We start from the raw sequence: 18,054 nt of genomic DNA on the forward strand, positions 1-18,054 counted from the left end.
AACCTTAAAAGCTGAAAGAATGTCAGCACCACACTTACAGTATAAACAGTGCTAAGAGATGTTCCTAAGTAGAAGGCTGATGATTCCAGATGGACGTTCACCAATAGAGAAAGCATTGAAAATTCAAAGACATAAGATTTGGGGTAAACATCTGGGTTATAGCTGCATGAATAGCAACTATAGAAAAACACACACACAAATGTGTATGCTAACAAAGGAGAGACCTGATATGGCAATCTTAATGTCAGAAAAAGTGTAATTAGAACCCAAAAGAGCAGATCGAGCTGTGAACAGTGGTTAGTTAGATCACCACAGGTCCTTTCAAAGGATGGAGATAGCCAGTAACTTACTCTGAATGAACATGACAAAGATATCTTCCCAGGTAAACTCTCCTCAAAACATGCCAAGGTATTGCTCTCCCCCACCCTTCCAAATTCATATCTCCTCCTTCCCTCTTTGTATTTTTCAGTCTTTTAATCTCTCCTTTTTTCTCCCTGTTCTTTCTTTCATTTTTGTTAGTGTCTTCCTTCATCCCATCACTCCTCCTCTCTCTGAATTTCCTGTGCATTTGTCTCACCTGTTGTGGACACAATAACATATTTTTAAATTGGAGTTAATACTTTTTTCTATTTTATTTTAAAATTGCGATAAAATGTACATAAAATTTATTATTTTAACCATTTTTAAGTATACAGTTTGGTGGCATTAAGTATAGTCGTGTGTCATTTAATGGTGGGGCTACGTTCTGTCAAATGTGTCATTAGGTGATTTCATCCTTGTGTGAACATGATAGAGTGTACTAACAGGATCCCAGATGGCACAGCTTCCTAGGCACCTAGGCTACATGTATAGCCTGTTATTCCTAGGCTACCAACCTGGACAGCTACTGTACTAAATATTATAGGCAATTGTAACACAATGGTAAGTATTTGTGTGTCTAAACATAGAAAAGGTAATGTGTTTGTTCTGGGACGTTAGGATGGCTATGACATCCCTAGGCAATAGGAATTTTTCAGCTCCATTATAATCTGTGAGACCATTGTCATATATGTGGTTTATCATTGACTGTAAATGAACAATGGCTCACTTAAGAAAAAAAAAAGAGCTTTGTTTACTTTGCCATAGAATTCTAATTTTCTTCCAGCATCCATCCATCCACCTGCCAAGACACGTGGAGCACCATATGCTCAGAGTCAGCCACAGCAGTCACAGGATGCAAGCATGGGTAGCTCTGTCTTAGATTTCGTAGACTCTGTGGCTCCTTCACTCAATTGGTTAGAGTTGGAATAGTTACCGAGGTCGGACTTGAAGGGTTGGACCTATATGAGATTTCTGGCTTTGTGTTCCACTCCATGGACATGGGAAGCCCCCGTCAGCGCAGCCTTTCACTGAAGTTATGACATTGCTGTCTTGGAGGGTGGCGGGGAGGGGGCGTGAAAAGAGATTGTTTCAAATTTAAAAAATCACTTCCCTGTGACAACTGACGATGTGATCGTCTCATCTCTTTGAATGTCATTTACTCTTTGTGCTTTCTTTGAATGTGTTTGGAACAGAAAACTAATCAGAGTCTGGTTTTAAAGGATTCATTTCTTTCCCGTGTTGATTCTGTAGCTTGCAGTGAGCTGCATACTCCATCGCTAGATCGAAAGCCAAATAGTTTTGTTGCGGTGAGTGTCACCACCCCTCCTCAGGCATTCTGGACGAAGCATGCACAGACGGAGATCATTGAGGTGGGTGCTGGTGGTCTCTCTCTGAGGGGCTGTGGGACATGCTCTAGTGGTGTCTCTTGTCCTGATGTTCAGTTACTTGTGCATCTGTAGCTGAAGCTGTATTTACGTGAGTTGTTGCTATTTTCCCATGGGTTTTCAGTACATTGATATTTTTCATCACATTTACTCATCTGGGTGGCATTTATATTGCCATATCCTTTACAGTTATTGATTAACTGTTGGCAGCTTGTTTTTGAACAATGATCCTGTAAGCTTCATTGCCTTGTAAGAGGTAAGACCTAATTCCTTCTTGTCACCTCCAATTGGCTGCTACTTTGCAAGAGTGGTGCTCATTAATCAAAGCTTAGAAGAGTATTAACTATTTACCACCCTCTTGTCCAGACATACCCCTATTTTTGTTGGTTTTTGTTTTTACAGCCTTTTGAGTTTTGTGTCACATGTTAACTTTTCCCACTAAGTTACATGATAAACATTTGTGGATAAACATTTATGGATGATCCTTTTAGATCATCAAGCACATTACATAACACTAAGTGTAGGAGTTGGTGGCATGAGATTCTGCAGAGTTTTATTTGTAAAGTGAAGAATTATCAAACTTAAACTGCATTTCTTCTTCTTCACCAGTTGTGCATTTTGGAAGCTAGCCCACCCTTTCAGTCTCTTAGAAACTTATTTCCAAGTTCACGTCAACAATTCTGCTTTCTAAGCAGTTGTCGAGTGCTACCTACACATCTAGCATAGTGCCAGGCACTGTGGATGATACAGAGCCCACCAGGGCACAGTCCCTGCCCTGAGGAATTGACCAGCTGGTGGGTGGGGAGGCAGAAATGAATATGGCTACCCGTGTGCACAGCAGAGTATGGGAAGTATTGGAGTAGGAAGGTAAGGAGAGCACCAGGAGGCTGGGATCCTATCTGGCTGTGAGAGTCAGAGCAGGCTTCCTAGGGTGGGGCTTCATGAAATTCTACTTCAGTATGTCTGGGGTAGGGCCCAAGACTGCATTTCTTACAAGCTCCCAAGTGATGCCCAGGTAGCCAGTCGGGGGACTCCACATGAAGAGCACGCCAAAGTTCTGTTGTGGCTATGCAAATGTGTGACCACAGGGAAGGATCATGCAGGTTTGGGGTCTAACTGTATCCTGGTCAGTGTGTGAAAGGCACAAGTAGGAGAGCAAGGAAAGAAAGCCTTGAAGGCCGTGGAGTTTATCAGCAGATGGTAGTGAGCCAGTGTAGGCTTCTGTGCAGGGGAGTCACCTGACCAGATGTCCTAACTTGTATAGGACAGGCATTTGGGGGAGTGAGAGTTGGAGGGAGTGGAAAGAAAGGAGCGTATGACAGAGACTTTGAAGGTGGACCTTGCAAGGGGAGTTCATGATCACTGGATGGTTGAGAACAACAGAGAAGAAGGCACCAAAGTGAATGCCCGGGCTTTTAGCCTGCTTGGAAAGGGAGTCAGAGGTGGCCTTAGCCAAGGGCAGGTGGAGGGAGAGATGAGTTGGTTGAGGCCCCAGCAGCCCACCCAGGTGGAGCTGTCCAGTCAGCTTGACCACCTGGATCTGGATCTCCAGAGAGAAAAAGGAGCCAGAGGCCCAGGGAATGGTGGCTGTGATAATTACCTGGTGCCTGAGAGAGTATGGTATTACGGGGCTTTGGAGGACATGGCCAGGCTGCCAGGAAATAGTCACCTATGATCAAAAAACTAGTAGCTGATCCTAAAAAAAGGATAGCTTTTGAAAAGTCAGGCTTTAATTATTCCAAACACAGGCTTCTAGAAATACATAATAAACCACTTAAGCCATTCATTTTCTCTCTTTCATCTGCTTATTTGTACCTCTTAAAGGAATAACTCAAAGTAGTAGGTTTACATACACATTACACTTTAAGTTATAAAACTAAGAATGCATGTGGACATCCAACTTGTTTCAGTTTTTAAAAATTCCTCCTGTTGAGTGTGAAACCCATGAAATGAGTCCTCAGGCACAGCTTGTGTAATGGGCTGATTTATTGTATGTGGATCTGTAATGGTCTATGTCAGACTTCTTTTTTCTCTTTTAAAAAGCAGAGTTTTTTTGTTTGTTTGTTTTATGTATTTATTTAAGCCGCCTTTAGCATTTGTGTTGATTCAAGGCAGTGAGAATGTTAGTTTCTCATTCTGAAAATGTTGGTGTATTTCAAAAGCAATTACATTTTAAAAATCCAACCCTGTGTTCTGATTATTTCCTTTTCTGTTCTAGGGAACCAACAATCCTATATTTCTAAGCAGTATTGCCTTCTTTCAAGACTCTCTTATCAATCAGATGACACAAGTCAAACTCTCCGTGTATGATGTCAAAGATAGATCTCAGGGAACAGTTAAGTAATGTGTTGTAGTTCGTGGGATTTTCTTCCCTTTGAAAAAATTATATAATCGTTTGAATGAGAGATGAACACAGATTGACTTCACTACTGGCTCACAAGTTAACTCATGTCTAAATGCATTTGTCTTTGCGAATTGTTAAGCTTTCCCATTGGGCTTCTGACATAAGGGTAAGAGGTGTTGTGGGAAGCAGTCAGCTGGACTCTCTGGGGCCATGGTAATTGCATCAGAAGCAAAGCAAGCGCACCAATGCTGCCTCTCTTCCTTCTCTTCCTCAGATGTATTTACTGGGCTCTGGAACGTTCATTGTCAAAGATCTGCTCCAGGACAGGCATCATAGGTTGCATTTAACACTAAGGTTGGTATTCAGTTTTATTCCCTTGAAAGGATCTGGAATCATGAGGTCCAGGGACAGATGGGGAAAGGACCCACTTCTTATACTGAGAGAGCACCCTTCCCTTCCCAGAAGCCAGTCAGCGTGGGGACACTGTGTTGTCTATTGAGGCGAAACAAATTACTTAGCCTATCAGAGAATGGAAACTTTTAGCATCCATAGGAGATATGAGCACAGCTGTACCAAGCCCTAAAGGAAGGCCTAGATACATATCTAGTAATACTAAGTGTGTTTCTCCATTATTTAGCCCCTCCCCAGTGGAATATAATCTCCCATAGAGCAGGGAGTTTTGTCTGCTTTGCTTCACTGCTATTTCCCAGACACCTAGAATGTGTCTGGTGCTCAATAAATATTTATGGAAGGAATGAGTGAATGAAAGGGAAACGCCCACTGTCTCCCAGGATGGAAAGATGAAAGACATCAGGATGTCAGTCCTTCCAAATCATTTTAGGGGCACTTCCCACCAAAACCCTGACATGGTGGTCTTTTTTCAGAAAAAGGTAAAAATTGGAGAACTGTGATCTGGGAAAGTAATCTAGAGTAGCAAGGAAAATTTGACAAACAATTAAGTCCCTGCAGTATTGAGACATTCTGAAGCTACTATAAGTAAAGACAGTATTGCAGGCATTGGCTGTCTAATCAGTGGACAGGATCAGAGCCCTGCAGCAGCCCTTAGTTTGTTTAGAGAACTTGATTCAGGAAAAAGGAACCATCTTTGGTAAAATGAGAGGGATCATGTAAGGGAAAGGGCTTTGAGAAAAATATTTAGTTACGTCATGTGTCAGAGTTAACTCTAGTTGGGTTAGAGTTAAATGTACAAAATAGACATCATTCTTTTTAAAGGAGCTAAAGGCGGCTGATGATTGAACAGATAGAGCAGGAAAGGACTTCACAGGCACGAGGACAGGGCAAGGAAATCACAAAGGAAATGGTCAGTAGATGGGACCAGACAAAAATTTAGAACCTGATTAAGTGAGACCTTGTAAATAGAAAGCCTGAAGTTCCAGGGTGTCCCCAGGTTCCCTGGATGAATCAGATGAGCCCAGGCCACCATCAGCCACCCTTCGGGATGTCAGGGTAAAGCTGACTGAGGCTGGGGTAGCATCAGCTGTGTCATATCAGGATTCAAGGGCTTCAGGAAGCCCTGGCTGGATTCCATTACTTGGAGTCCAGGCTTAGGCCTTGGGCTAATATAAGCCTCAAGGTGGGGTGGGAAGGAACAGAAAAGGGCCCAGGGCCAGAACAAGGTGTTCTGTAGTCCTCACTCTGACACGTGTCCCCCTCACCCTCTGGGCAGGGGTGAGCACAGGCACTGGCAGCAGCTCAGGAACAGCATTGGCTCCTCCTCAGGGAGGCCCCCTCTGACTTCACCAGCACGTCCACACTTCCCTGTGGTGCGTGTCCGTTCAGACACAGCCCTCCACTGTGCCCCATGGTTTCCTTGTCTGTCTCGCCTGAGAGGAGCCCTGTGTGCACAGTGAATGCTGACTGACTGGTCAGTCAGCTCGGCCCTGCTGCCCCCAGGACCCTGATGACCCAGTACGGCTAGGGCTTTGTATTTCAGCAGAAAAGAAGCACAGTTGCAGCACCACTCATTAAAGCATGTTGTGCATCACAGGTCTGCAGAGAGTGACCGTGTAGGTAACATCACCGTGATTGGCTGGCAGATGGAGGAGAAGTCAGACCAACGGCCCCCTGTGACCCGGTCTGTGGACACTGTCAATGGGAGGGTGAGTTACACCACTTTCCTCCTCTCCCTTAGAAAGAGCAAGGGAATTAATCAGTAAAAATGCAGCCCTCGTGGACTTAGCCTCTGTGCTCAGCAAAGGGCAGGGCCTGCTGCTTGATGCTGCTCCCCACGGACACTCCGGTCCTCCTTAGGCACACCTTGAAGCAGGAAAAAGGGCTCCTGCCTGTAAAGCCCTGCTGCCCTGGAGCCGGCTTCTGTTCTGGGTGCCACACTGGCCAATTCTAGAGGGCAGGAGTGAGTGGGAAAGAGCCCTACTGGAAGAACTGCAGTCAGGGGGCAACTTGGGTGTGGAGGGTGAGCAAAGAGGCATTTAGGACCCAGGTCATCTGTCCTGTTTTAATACCTTCCTCTCCCAGACACATGCATGCCCTGCAGTCTCCTGGTGCACACCTTCACCTTTTCACATCCTCCCCTCTTCCCTGGTCCTCCTCCCCCTCTCTAGCTACACCCTCCTGCACCCACTGTCATGCATAGTCTCTCACACAGACACTCAAAGAAAAATTCTAATTTCAGAGCCCTAGCGCTGGTAAGTAGTCATTGTTGTACAATACAGAGATGTCTCATTTCACCCAAAATAAGCCCAGAATGTTAGTTCTGGAAATATCCCTTGGCATCATCTATTCTCTTCCTTTTCGTTTTTACATCAGAACACTGACACACAAGGTGAAGTGACTGAGAAACCATGCATGCCTAGAGAATTGTGTGCGCATGAAGTGATTCAACACACTGGGAGGTGAATGACTTTGTGGCTTGGGCAGCATATTTATTGTAGAGTTCATGGTGGATATTCATCTTAAGACTTCTGTTATGATGTATTTAGGCCACTGTTTCTGCTGAATGTTCTGGAGTCATCTGAATCTCACAGTTTTCTTGTGCATTTCCTTATACATTATCAGATGGTTCTTCCTGTCGATGAGAGCTTGACGGAGGCGTTAGGAATCCGATCCAAATACGCTTCATTGCGAAAGGACACTTTGCTGAAATCGGGTAAACAGCTTCCTCCTTTGGTATTCTTGCCTCTCTAGTGAGTATCCACTTGGGCCCGCAGTCCCCTTTGCTCCCCACCTGCTGCGATTGTCCCAGCCATGCACCCTAATTGTCACCTCTCTGCTGCTTATCATTGTGTTCTTTTTGCAGCATATAAAGAGTTATCACAAAAAACAATTATAATTTTCCTTGAAAGAGGATTAAAAAATAAAAAAGAATTAGTAATACTCCAAGGAAGTAATACTTCATCTCACTCTTTTCTGTTTCACATTGGGGTTGGTGACTGACGACAGCCTCCCTGCCCCCAGCTGCTTGCACTTTAGAGTTAGTTACATGTTCTGGGACAGGAAGATTGCATGTTGCTGGGAAGAAATGTTCAGACCTAGCCACTTGGTGGGTTTTCGGTGTAAGCGTTTTAATTCCCATGAGATGAACAGTGAGAGGACTTGAGGTGTCACCATCCCTGAGGGCCGGGGGAGGAGAACCCATGAGGCAGGTCTGCAGCCAGTTCATTTGCAGCCTGTCTCCCTTGTCATCCCACCTCAGTGTTCGGTGGTGCCATCTGCCGCATGTACCGGTTTCCAACCACTGATGGTAACCATTTGCGGATCCTGGAGCAGATGGCAGAGAGCGTGCTCTCCCTGCACGTGCCCCGGCAGTTCGTGAAGCTCCTACTAGAGGAAGATGCAGCCAGGTGAGGCCACATGGAAGGACTGACTGTCCATCATACCCATGTCATGTGCCCCTTCCTTTCTGAGATATAGCGGGCAGAGCACTGGCATCAGATAGACTGGACTGCAAACACAGCCTCTCCCCCTGCAGCTCTGTGGCCTTGGCTTGCCTAAGCCTCAGTTTGCTCATTGGGATCATGGATTCCTGTGCAAGGATTTCATAAGACAGTGTATTTGAACCCAGATGTGTGCCCCACACTCAGAACCTCCTCTTTTCTCTTCTTTACTCTTTTTTTTTGAGACAGAGTCTTGCTCTGTCGCTCAGGCTGGAGTGCAGTGGTGCGATCTCAGCTCAATGCAGCCTCTTCTCCCAGGTTCAAGTAATTCTCCTGCCTCAGCCTCTGAAGTAGCTGAGATTACAGGTGTGCGCCACCAGGCCTGGCTAATTTTTGTATTTTTAGTAGATATGGTGTTTCACCATGTTGGTCAGGCTGGTCTCGAACTACTGACCTCAGATGATCCACCCACCTCGGCCTCCCAAAGTGCTGGGATTACAGGTGTGAGCCACCATGCCCGGCCTTCCTTCTCTTCTTTTCTTTCCCCTCTCACTGGTCCTTCAGAAAGTTAGAAATAACTGGTAATTGTTTGATCCTAGCTGCCCAGCAGTAGTTTTCTAGGTTAGGGTCATAGATAAGGGCTCCAGAAGACTGAGTATAACCTGTCAGCTCACTGTGGTCCCATAAGGGTCTTAACCCTTCTGCATCTCTCAACCCAGGGCATATTTTGTCAGTTCTAAGGTGAGGAGAAGCCCAACAGGTGGCCCAGGCCGTGCATATTATGTCCCCTGTCTCTCTCTGTTTTAATTTTGTGCTGCTGTAACAGAATGCCAGAGAATGAGTAACTTCTAATGATCAGAAAAGTATTTGACTCAAGGTTCTGGAAACTGGGAAGTCCAAAAGCATGGTACTGGCATCTGGGGAGGGCCTTCATGCTGCACCATCCTGTGGTGGAAGGCGTCACACAGCAAGAGCGCTCTTGAGAGAAGGCCAAACTTGCTTTTATAACAAACCCACTGTTGTAATAACCAACCCATTCCCATGATAATGACATCAATCCATTCATGAGGGCAGAGCCCTCATGACCTCGTCATCTCTTAAAGGTCCCACTTCTCAAAACTGTGGCATTCAGGATGAAGTTTCTAACATATGAACTTTGGGGGATAGTCTCAGATTGTTATTTCTCCTCCTTGTCCTCAAATGGTGTTAATTATAAACACAATATAACAGAAGCGTGAAAGAAAGCAAGGCAGCCAGAATCCTGCTGTTTTCAAAGAGCTATTTTGTTTAATTTTTTTACTTGGAAAAAACATCAAACTTAAAAATAAAGGGCAAGAGGCCAGGCGCAGTGGCTCACGCCTGTAATCCCAGCACTTTGGGAGGCTGAGGCAGGTGGATCACGAGGTCAGGAGATTGAGACCATCCTGACTAACACGGTGAAACCTCGTTTCTACTAAAAATACAAAAAATTAGCCGGGCGCGGTGGTGGGCGCCTGTAGTCCCAGCTACTCGGGAGGCAGAGGCAGGAGAATGGCGTGAACCCAGGAGGCGGAGCTTGCAGTGAGCCGAGATCACGCCACTGCACTCCAGCCTTGGTGACAGAGCGAGACTCCGTCTCAAAAAAAAAAAAAAAATGCAAGAAGAATGCAATGAGCACCTAGATATCTTTCACCTAAAATCACCAATTGTTAATATTTTGCCAATTGCTTTCTCTATATATGCACATATTTTAATATTTTAATTATAAAAATTTTCATTCAGCTTTGCCCATATTTGTGTATATTTACACAGTGGCAATCTACTTTTCCATGTATCTTCAGTTTTTATGTTTTAATTTCCCATTACATGGTGTATTATAACTTTAAAGAGTTTATTCATTTTTTGTTAGCTTGAGACAGGGTATTGCTCTGTCACCCAGGCTGGAGTGCAGTGGCACCATCATAGCTCACTACAGCCTGAAACTCCTGGGCTCAAGCCATCATCCTCTTACCTCAGCTTCCTGAACAGATAGAACTACAAGCACACACCACTATGCCCAGCTAATTTTTTCATTTGTTGTAGAGACAGGGTCTTGCTGTGTTGCCTAGGCTGGTCCCTAGCTCCTGGCCTCAAGTGATCCTCCCACCTTGGCCTCTCAAAAAGCTGGGATTCCAGGCATGACCCACCATTCCTGGCCAAGAGTTCATTCATTTAACAAGTGCTTTAGTTCAAGGGTTTTGTTGTTGTTTTTAGCAACAACCACATGTCAGGCACTGTTCTCAGTGTGGGAGGCTTCTTGGTGAGCTCAACGTGGATGTTGGTTGGAAACAGAACTGGGAACCTCACGCAGGAACTCCAGATGTTTCAGCGTGTGCTGGAAATGAAAAGGGAACTGTGAGAAGAAAGAGGGTGATCGGGGCAGGCCTCTGTGAGATGATGACATTAAACTAACACCTGAAGCATAGGAAGCCACCACATGAACACGGGCAGACACATTCCAGAGAAACTAGCAGCGGCCTGGCAGACAGCTGCTGTGCTCAGAGCGGCCTGAGGCCATGGGGCCGGCTGGCCACGTAGCCCTACCTGCTCTGGGTGTCCTTTTATATTAATTTTGCTATTTTAATAATAATAAAATGGCACAGCTTTTAAAAACAATTTAGACAAGTCAGATTTCCTAAGAACTTATGTAAAATTTAGCTTTTTTTCTTTCTCAAAGGAAAACATGAGTGCAGTATAAAAAAAAAATTGCAGAAAGGTTTTTAACTAAAAACAACTCGGGGCTCTACTTTCTGATCTACTTCCCGGAAGCAACCAATTTTTGAGAGTTTTAGTGTTTACTGATGTATTTCCACATATATGTGTAAAGTGTTCTCTTCATTAATCAATTTCAGGGATTAGCTACCGATTTTCTATGCTGAGGGTTTGGCCTTTTATACCTTCCCAGTCCCCATTTTCCTAATTTGGTTATGCTTTTTGTTTTTAAATCCATCTTGTGATTTTGCTGTTATGATTGTGTAGCTGTTCTTCATTGCTGAGCTAAGGAATTTATATTTCAGTTCTTATACAGGTTTTTTTTTTTGGAGATAACAATTCCTCTTTTTCTTCTCTTCTCTTCCTCCTCTTCCCCCTTCCCCCTTCTGTTACCCTGTGCCTCTGTCAAGCACACACATAAAGACAAGGTCAGGCCTGATTTCATCCACAGTGACACAGCGGGCCACTTTTAGGTTCAGACAGCTCCTCTCTTTTTTTTTTTTGAGATGGAGTCTCTATTGCCTAGGCTGGAGTGCAGTGGTGCGATCCTGGCTCACTGCAAGCCCCGCCTCCCAGGTTCACGCCATTCTCCTGCCTCAGCCTTCCAAGTAGCTGGGACTACAGGCGCCCACCACCACGCCCGGCTAATTTTTTGTATTTTTTAGTAGAGACGGGGTTTCACCATGTTAGCCAGGATGGTCTCAATCTAGCTCCTCTCTTACATAGACACGGAAGGAAGAAGAATCAGAGGTGCCAGCTCCCATGGTCTTTGTCCCGTACCCAAAAAGGATGGCAATGAGACAGAAGGGCTTGTGACTGCAGCAGGATCTGTGGTATTCCGCTGCTGAGGAGCCAACTCTAGGCTGCAGCTGAGCGGTTTTAGATTCTGCGGCTCCCCTATCCGGGAGGGCAGAAGGCCCATACCTCAGGAGAACCTGGGAGGCAATGAGAAGCGCTGTCCTGATAGCCTCCTAGGGGAGATGACGAGGCAAGCAGGAGGTGGCTCATTGCGATTACTCACAGCCTGCAGTCCTCTCTGTTCCGGGAGGATCACACGTTGTTTTGCCCAGACTCAGGTGGGCTGTGGTTTGAGCCTGTGCTTGAGGGCACCTGCAGGTCGTCAGGGTAAAGCTTCTCCCTAGCAGCCTGTCTTCTTCTCCCCACCTCCACTTAGTTTCCCTTGAACATTAGACTAAATTCCCGTGAAAAGCTACTCTGGACACACTGCCACGTGGTCAGTGGTCTGCTTTTCATGTAGCTGTCTGTCCTCTCCTCCAACCCAGTTGCCCTTTAGACAGGCAGTGTAACCATTGTCCTGGCCTGCCCTGGGCATCCATGATACTTCCCCTGCAAATGCTGTTGTCCTGGGTAGACCTCCTGGGCCTCTCTGGGGAAACCAGTTAGCCCACAGCCTGATGCATCTGTGTCTTGCTTTCAGAGTGTGTGAGCTGGAGGAGCTGGGAGAGCTGTCCCCTTGCTGGGAGAGCCTCCGGCGCCAAATTGTCACCCAGTACCAGACCATCATCCTCACATACCAGGAGAACCTGACCGACCTCCATCAGTACAGAGGTGGGTGCACCCCCATGCTGTCACCACACACGCGTGCGCACACACACACACACACACTCTCACTCTCACTCAGTCACTCCCTCTGCTTTCCCAGCCAGGGATCTGGAACACAGGGTCACTTACACATTCCCACTGACAGACACTTTAATGGATTTTTAAAAATAACTTCTTATGTAGGTGTGAATTCTTTCAAATATGGGTTTTTCTGATCTTAATTAAAAAGACAAATCTGTGAATTGCAGTGAAGAGTCCTCCTATGGTGTCATCTACCAAAACAGCCACTGTGGAATGAAATTTAGGGGAGGCGAAATCCCGGGCTATTACTGCTTCATGTTGTTTCTTCATCTTGGACTAATGTCAGTATAGGATGTACTAACAGAAAGGATGTAGGCCACTCGCCTTGAAACAAAGCAGTTTTTCTTGATTTCCCAGTTTAAAGAGTCAGTGGTAACTTCTATTAAACATATGAATTGTTAAGGGGTAACTCTGTATTTTAAGGCTCAGAAAACAAAATGGAGTGTGAATGAACACCTCACTGTTTCTCCTTGAAAGATGCCATTTGATTTTCAAAACACTCTCAGGGCAGATTTGGAAATCTGTTCTTGTTCCTTTTTTATTCCAAGTGGAATGAATTTTTTGGTTTTTCATTACTCTATATATTGCTTTAGCATTTTGAATTATTCTCTATTTTTGGATTCTTCCCTTTGATTCTTTTACATAATGGAATTTCAGGGTTTAAGGAAAACCATAAGCCCTTGATGTGGTTTTGACACAGAACATGTGAACCCATCCATAAACTTGAATGAGAAGAAGCCAAATGCAGGACTAACAAGGAGGTGTTGCTTAGGCTTGATGTGAGTCTGAAGAGAGGGTCTGAGTATGTCACTAGGAGAAACGGCAACATTTGCCCAGGAAGGAACCAAGGGACTCACCCATGCCTGATGCCTCTTACCTGGGAAAGTGTGGAACCCACACAACCTTGAGTTTTCTAGAGCAGAGCTTCTCAAATGTCACTGTGCACCCGGATCCCTTGAGAATTGTGTTGAAGTGGCAGTCTGGGATTGTGCCTTTCTCACAGGCTCTCGGATGCTCATGGTGCGGTCTGTGGACTGCACCCTACGTATCAGGCCATAGAGAGCAGTCTCCTATGGCAAATTGGAGAACACAGTAGCTGGTCTGTGATTCATATGCTGGCAGTATCAGTGATATTTTTCACTAGATGAAACGTTTATTTCTTCTACTCTCTGGTTGTCAGTTTAATTTGTAATCCCTTTATTTTGTAGGCATGTGATTCTCCATTTAATTAGTTATGGATTCTGATTATAGAAACAAGATTGTGCATATTTGTTATAAAATAGCGTCCAGGCTCCTTAACCAACCAGGCGTAAACAGGGAAACATTGTATTTTGTGTGTCAGAAGGCCGGAATCAATGCTATATTGCATTTGTTATCTTGATGGGCCTGCAGGGATGAGAAGGCCTCTTCATCACTTTCGAGAGTTGAGATGTATTGCTCTAGCCAAACCAGATTCTTAGCTCTTTGATGATGGCGGTCTCTGGAGTCAGAACAGGCAGTCTCTGGCGTGGACCCCTTTGCTTATTATAGTAGTGCTGACATTGTGCTGCACAGAATCACATTTTTTGTATCAGATCTCTCAGTAGAGAGCTGAGTCACGGAAGGCGCAGCATCGTTACCATAGCTTTTTGAAGCCGGTTCTCCCTGGCACCATTCACCACCTGAGCACCCAGAACCAGCTCTCCTGACCAGCAGGCTGCCCTTGGCATCTCACCCACCTGCCACCTGGAAATGAAATGTGCTCATGGCAACTCAGAATCTTCTAGGCCACTGCCGACATACCTGCTTATATGCCACAGCATCCTCTGAATTCCATTTTCTACTTGCAACTCGTGAATGCAGCATGTATGCTGATGGCCTTTATCTTCTCCTATTCCATTTCTTAGGGCCCTCGTTTAAAGCAAGCAGTTTGAAAGCAGATAAAAAGTTAGAATTTGTTCCCACAAACTTGCACATACAAAGGATGAGAGTTCAAGACGATGGAGGATCAGGTACCTATTTTTCTGCTCCCTCTTGTTGAATCACATTTCGCTGCTTTTCTCTGTGGGTACTTGGTCCCTGAGTACCCCACATCTGCCCATTTCCCTGTGTGCTCTGGGCGGCTCGGAGGAGAGATTTGTCACAAGGACCTTCAAAAGGTTTCTGATAACAGCCCACACCCCTTCCTTTTGTCTCTCCTCACTCTAGCTTCCCTTTGTATTTCTGCAGTAGAAAGTTGCCTGTCGGCCCTTCTTCCCAAGGAGGGATGCAAACGGGAGTTACAGGGTGGCTTCCTGCAGCCCTTGTGGCTCCACTTGAAATGTTTTAAACCCCTTGTTGCTGAGGTGATGGCACTGGGCTCCAGCAGACCCTTGGGCAGCCAGGGCTGTGGGATCAGGGGAACCAAAGGCTGTACAGCAGTGGGCTGGAGGGTCAGGACCCCAGACTTGTGTGCATATCCCTATAGCTGGCTTGTCCACAGGCCTGAGCCCAGAGTAATGGAGGAGAGCTTTCTGTCATTCAGATCAGAACTACGACATCGTCACCATTGGGGCGCCAGCAGCACACTGCCAAGGTTTTAAGTCAGGAGGTCTCCGCAAAAAGCTGCACAAATTTGAAGAGACCAAGAAACAGTAAGTAGCCAGAGAGGGTTTGTGGTCCTTGTACAGCTTTCTGATGCTTCTTTTCTCAGTTTAAAATAAAATCAAAATATGACCGCAAAAACACCCAGCCATCTGATCTGCTTTTGCGTGGCAGGAGGATCTGCCTTATGGAGCCTGTGCTGCTCTGTTTATGTGTGACTGAGCTGGGTGGGTGATGAGGGCACTGGATCAATGGTCCTGTCCTGCAAAATGAGGAGCAGATTGTGATCCACCTCAGAAGTGGTGCTCCAGGCAACCGCCCTATGTAGACTCTGCTGGCTTGGCATCCTTTAGAGTCCCTGGCCAGTCAGTTGAGCACCATAGGCATCGAGCCTGGAGCATGTTGTTTCCTAGAGGACAGCAGTGGTAAACATTCCCAGTTTTTGAAACATTCAGGGGGCTGTACAGAGCTACTGTCCTGAGCAGGAAATTTCCAGGTAGGGAGGGTGGTGAAGGGCATTTCAGACAAAGACATGGCAGAAGCATTGCACATGGTGAAATGTGGCCAGGTGCACAGTGCTGGGGGCGGAGAGCTAAGAGGACTGGCCTTGCTGCCAGCCTGCTCTGTGACCAGAGTTACAGCCCCCAGCAGATCTAGGCCTGGTTCCAGGAGCTCAGGGCCTTGCCTGGGAGTAGACAAGTCAGCAAGCACCATTTGGCATGAACAGGGCCTGAAACAAGCATGCTGAGGATGCTGGGGTGCATGGAGCAGGGCATCCACCCAGCCCCCAGGGGTGGGAGGGAGAGAGCCAGAAATAAACCCAAGCTGTTGTGTTAGATGTGCAGGAGGCATTGATGATCTTCCAGAACATCACCTGTGAAGATTTCAGTGGCTCAGGAAGTGGGGGTGATGAGTGTAGATGACCAGTAAGATCCTTGGACTGTGACCACAAAGTAGAGGAAGTAGCATGAGGTGTTTGGTTTAGGGAGAATAATTATGACTTAGCATGTGTTTGGGCTGATAGGAAAGACAGAAGTGGATGAGGTAAGGTGAATGAGAGGAAAACAGTGTTAGAGCCGGGTTCTCACAGGATGGAAAGAGGCAAGAGCAGGTGTTCATCAGAAGGGCCAGGAGAAGAGGTGGGGCTGCAGAGAGATGTTTGAGGTGGGAAGGAACAAGCAGAAGCATCCGTCGACAGCCTCTGCAGCATGTGGGCTGGGGAGGGTCAGACTCAGCAAGCAAGCATGGAACAGCGTGAGGGAAGGTGAGCAAAGGCCCAGGGAGCGTCACAAGAATCCCATGGATGGTCAGGTGAAGAGCTCTGGCATGTGCCATGGAGCTGGTGGTTGGCACCTGACTGTGCTGCCATGGCTGGGAGTCAGGACGTGATCTGAGAAAACTGAAAGAGGTGAAAGGTCAGATCAGTGGCTGAGGGGGTCAGGGAGGCAGCTAGGGGCGTCACTGATCATGGGCAAGGCTGAGCAGGGAACGGAAGAGCGTACCCTGTGAGAAGTCACCATTCAGATACGTGCACAGGCTGCCTGGGTGGGCCCAGAGCCCGGTGAGTCCCGGAGGGAGGAGAAACAGGGAAGGGGAATTCAGGCCCCCAGACAACCTACTTGACTTTGATTCATTCCCAGGGGTGCTTCCCTAAGACAAACCAGGTAACCAGACCTGTCTTAGGATTTGCTGACTCCAGGTCCCTTTGGGAAATAGGAAGAAGACGCAGCTTCCTGTGCCACCGCAGCTCTGCACAGCCAGCCAGAAAGCGTGTCTGTCGCTCCATTGCATGTTGCCCTGTGGAGAGTGTGAGCGTGCAGCTTGAGATGGGGTGGGGCCCTGAAGGAGAACCCATAGTAACTCTGGCCAGTCAAGAAGGGGGCCTTCTGGGGGTCTTTGTCCCAGGAGGCTTGGGGTGTTGATTCCTGATAACTCTGCATGTTAACTTTAGAATTTATTTCTCAAAATACCTCTTAGTATTTTTCAAATATATAAGTTTCTATTTAATTTCTCACTAATGCCATCAAGCCACTTATAGATATGGTATTCATGATTTGAACTTTCCTTTAAATGCGGAGGTAACTTGGCCTGAGGTGGGATGTCTCCCTGGGGCTTGAGCACAGGGAGTGACGCTGCTCTAAGGAATAAGCACATTGGGCTCATGATTGTAGTCATCCCTGTAGTTGGGACCTCAACAAATAATTTTAAGTATTTTGACAAAAAATAAGTTGGCTTTTTAATTTTTTGTTTTTGCATTTGGTATTTGCTAACAAACTGCTAATATTTCATTTTGGTTCTTTTCTTTAGCAGTTTTGAGGAGTGTTGGTGAGTTTTCTGTCTGTGGAGAGAGTGTCTGTTTGGGTCTCGTCCTCATGCAGAGAAAGCTTGTGCCATCCCCACACCTCCTCCTGTGGGCTTCCCCTGCGGTGCTGCCATGGTTCCTAGTTATACACCTCATAAACAGTCCTCCCTTCCAACTGCAATGTTCTTTAATAATGAATAGCCAATCTTCAGTCTGCTGTTTTACCTTTAAAACCTGGCAGCTGGGTGTTGTCGTACTCACTCTGAGAAAGGACCTAGTTCTGTTTCTCCCAGGAAGAGGAAGGGCCCGACCCAGGAAGCCCCTGGGTGCTGGGTTCTCATGTCAGCCCCTGGGTGCAGCTGGGAACTCCTGTCTTCTTATACAGGAGTCTTGTGGCTTTTCAGTTTTCACTTCACTATTACCTCTTATACAAATGAAGCCAGCCTACATCTTCATGATGCTTATTAATTTATGCTGATTTTAATAACACTGTTACCAAGGTCAGTTTTACCCCTGGGGGTGGGTACAAACCAAGATTTAATACAACTGAGTGACTTTTTCCACCAGATAATTAGATGACAGTTAGAAACCACGGTGTCTGCTGCCTGGGCTTCTCTACTGCTTCCCCAGGCTCATAACAGAGGCTCTGCAGTGGTGCTTCATTCAGAGGCACCTGCAGCCCCTCAAGAAATGCTGCTGCCTCAGAGCCTGTGACCCATGGGGCTCAGGGGCTATGGCTGGGCCCTGCTGGAGGTGTCAGGCTCTGCTGGTGGCATCTGACAGGAGGAAGCACTGAGGACATTCCCCGATGTCCAGGCTGAGGCCTCTCAACTTCCCCCTGGGGGTCCTTTTCCCTGGGGGTACTTTAGGTAC

The 18,054-nt window shown here is 46.4% G+C and overlaps 1 protein-coding gene across 46 annotated transcripts in view, besides 1 other annotated feature; it reads left to right on the forward strand.

The window, feature by feature from the left end:
- Window positions 1-18,054, forward strand: part of INPP4A (inositol polyphosphate-4-phosphatase type I A) — a 149,806-nt gene that overhangs the window by 87,179 nt on the left and 44,573 nt on the right. For 21 of the 46 annotated variants that reach the window (XM_047444199.1, XM_047444209.1, XM_047444204.1 and 18 more), the window contains 9 exons: window positions 1,612-1,730; window positions 3,964-4,080; window positions 4,364-4,443; window positions 6,098-6,209; window positions 7,126-7,216; window positions 7,763-7,910; window positions 12,112-12,242; window positions 14,204-14,308; window positions 14,821-14,929. In XM_047444199.1, the coding sequence (XP_047300155.1) occupies window positions 1,612-1,730; window positions 3,964-4,080; window positions 4,364-4,443; window positions 6,098-6,209; window positions 7,126-7,216; window positions 7,763-7,910; window positions 12,112-12,242; window positions 14,204-14,308; window positions 14,821-14,929 (1,012 nt within the window). Of the gene's footprint in view, window positions 1-1,611; window positions 1,731-3,963; window positions 4,081-4,363; window positions 4,444-6,097; window positions 6,210-7,125; window positions 7,217-7,762; window positions 7,911-10,421; window positions 12,243-14,203; window positions 14,309-14,820; window positions 14,930-17,186; window positions 17,205-18,054 lie in introns of those variants that run through there. The other 25 variants (XR_922915.3, XR_007074203.1, XM_024452876.2 and 22 more) reach the window with 4 other exon arrangements.
- Window positions 17,310-17,399: an enhancer, noted in NCBI's record as "active region_16268". NCBI's record gives its function as "activates an Ori minimal core promoter by ATAC-STARR-seq in GM12878 lymphoblastoid cells {active_cell/tissue: GM12878}" and the evidence as "EXISTENCE:reporter gene assay evidence [ECO:0000049][PMID:35858748]".

Source organism: Homo sapiens, chromosome 2 (assembly GCF_000001405.40).
Source record: "Homo sapiens chromosome 2, GRCh38.p14 Primary Assembly".
Lineage (NCBI taxonomy): Eukaryota > Metazoa > Chordata > Mammalia > Primates > Hominidae > Homo > Homo sapiens.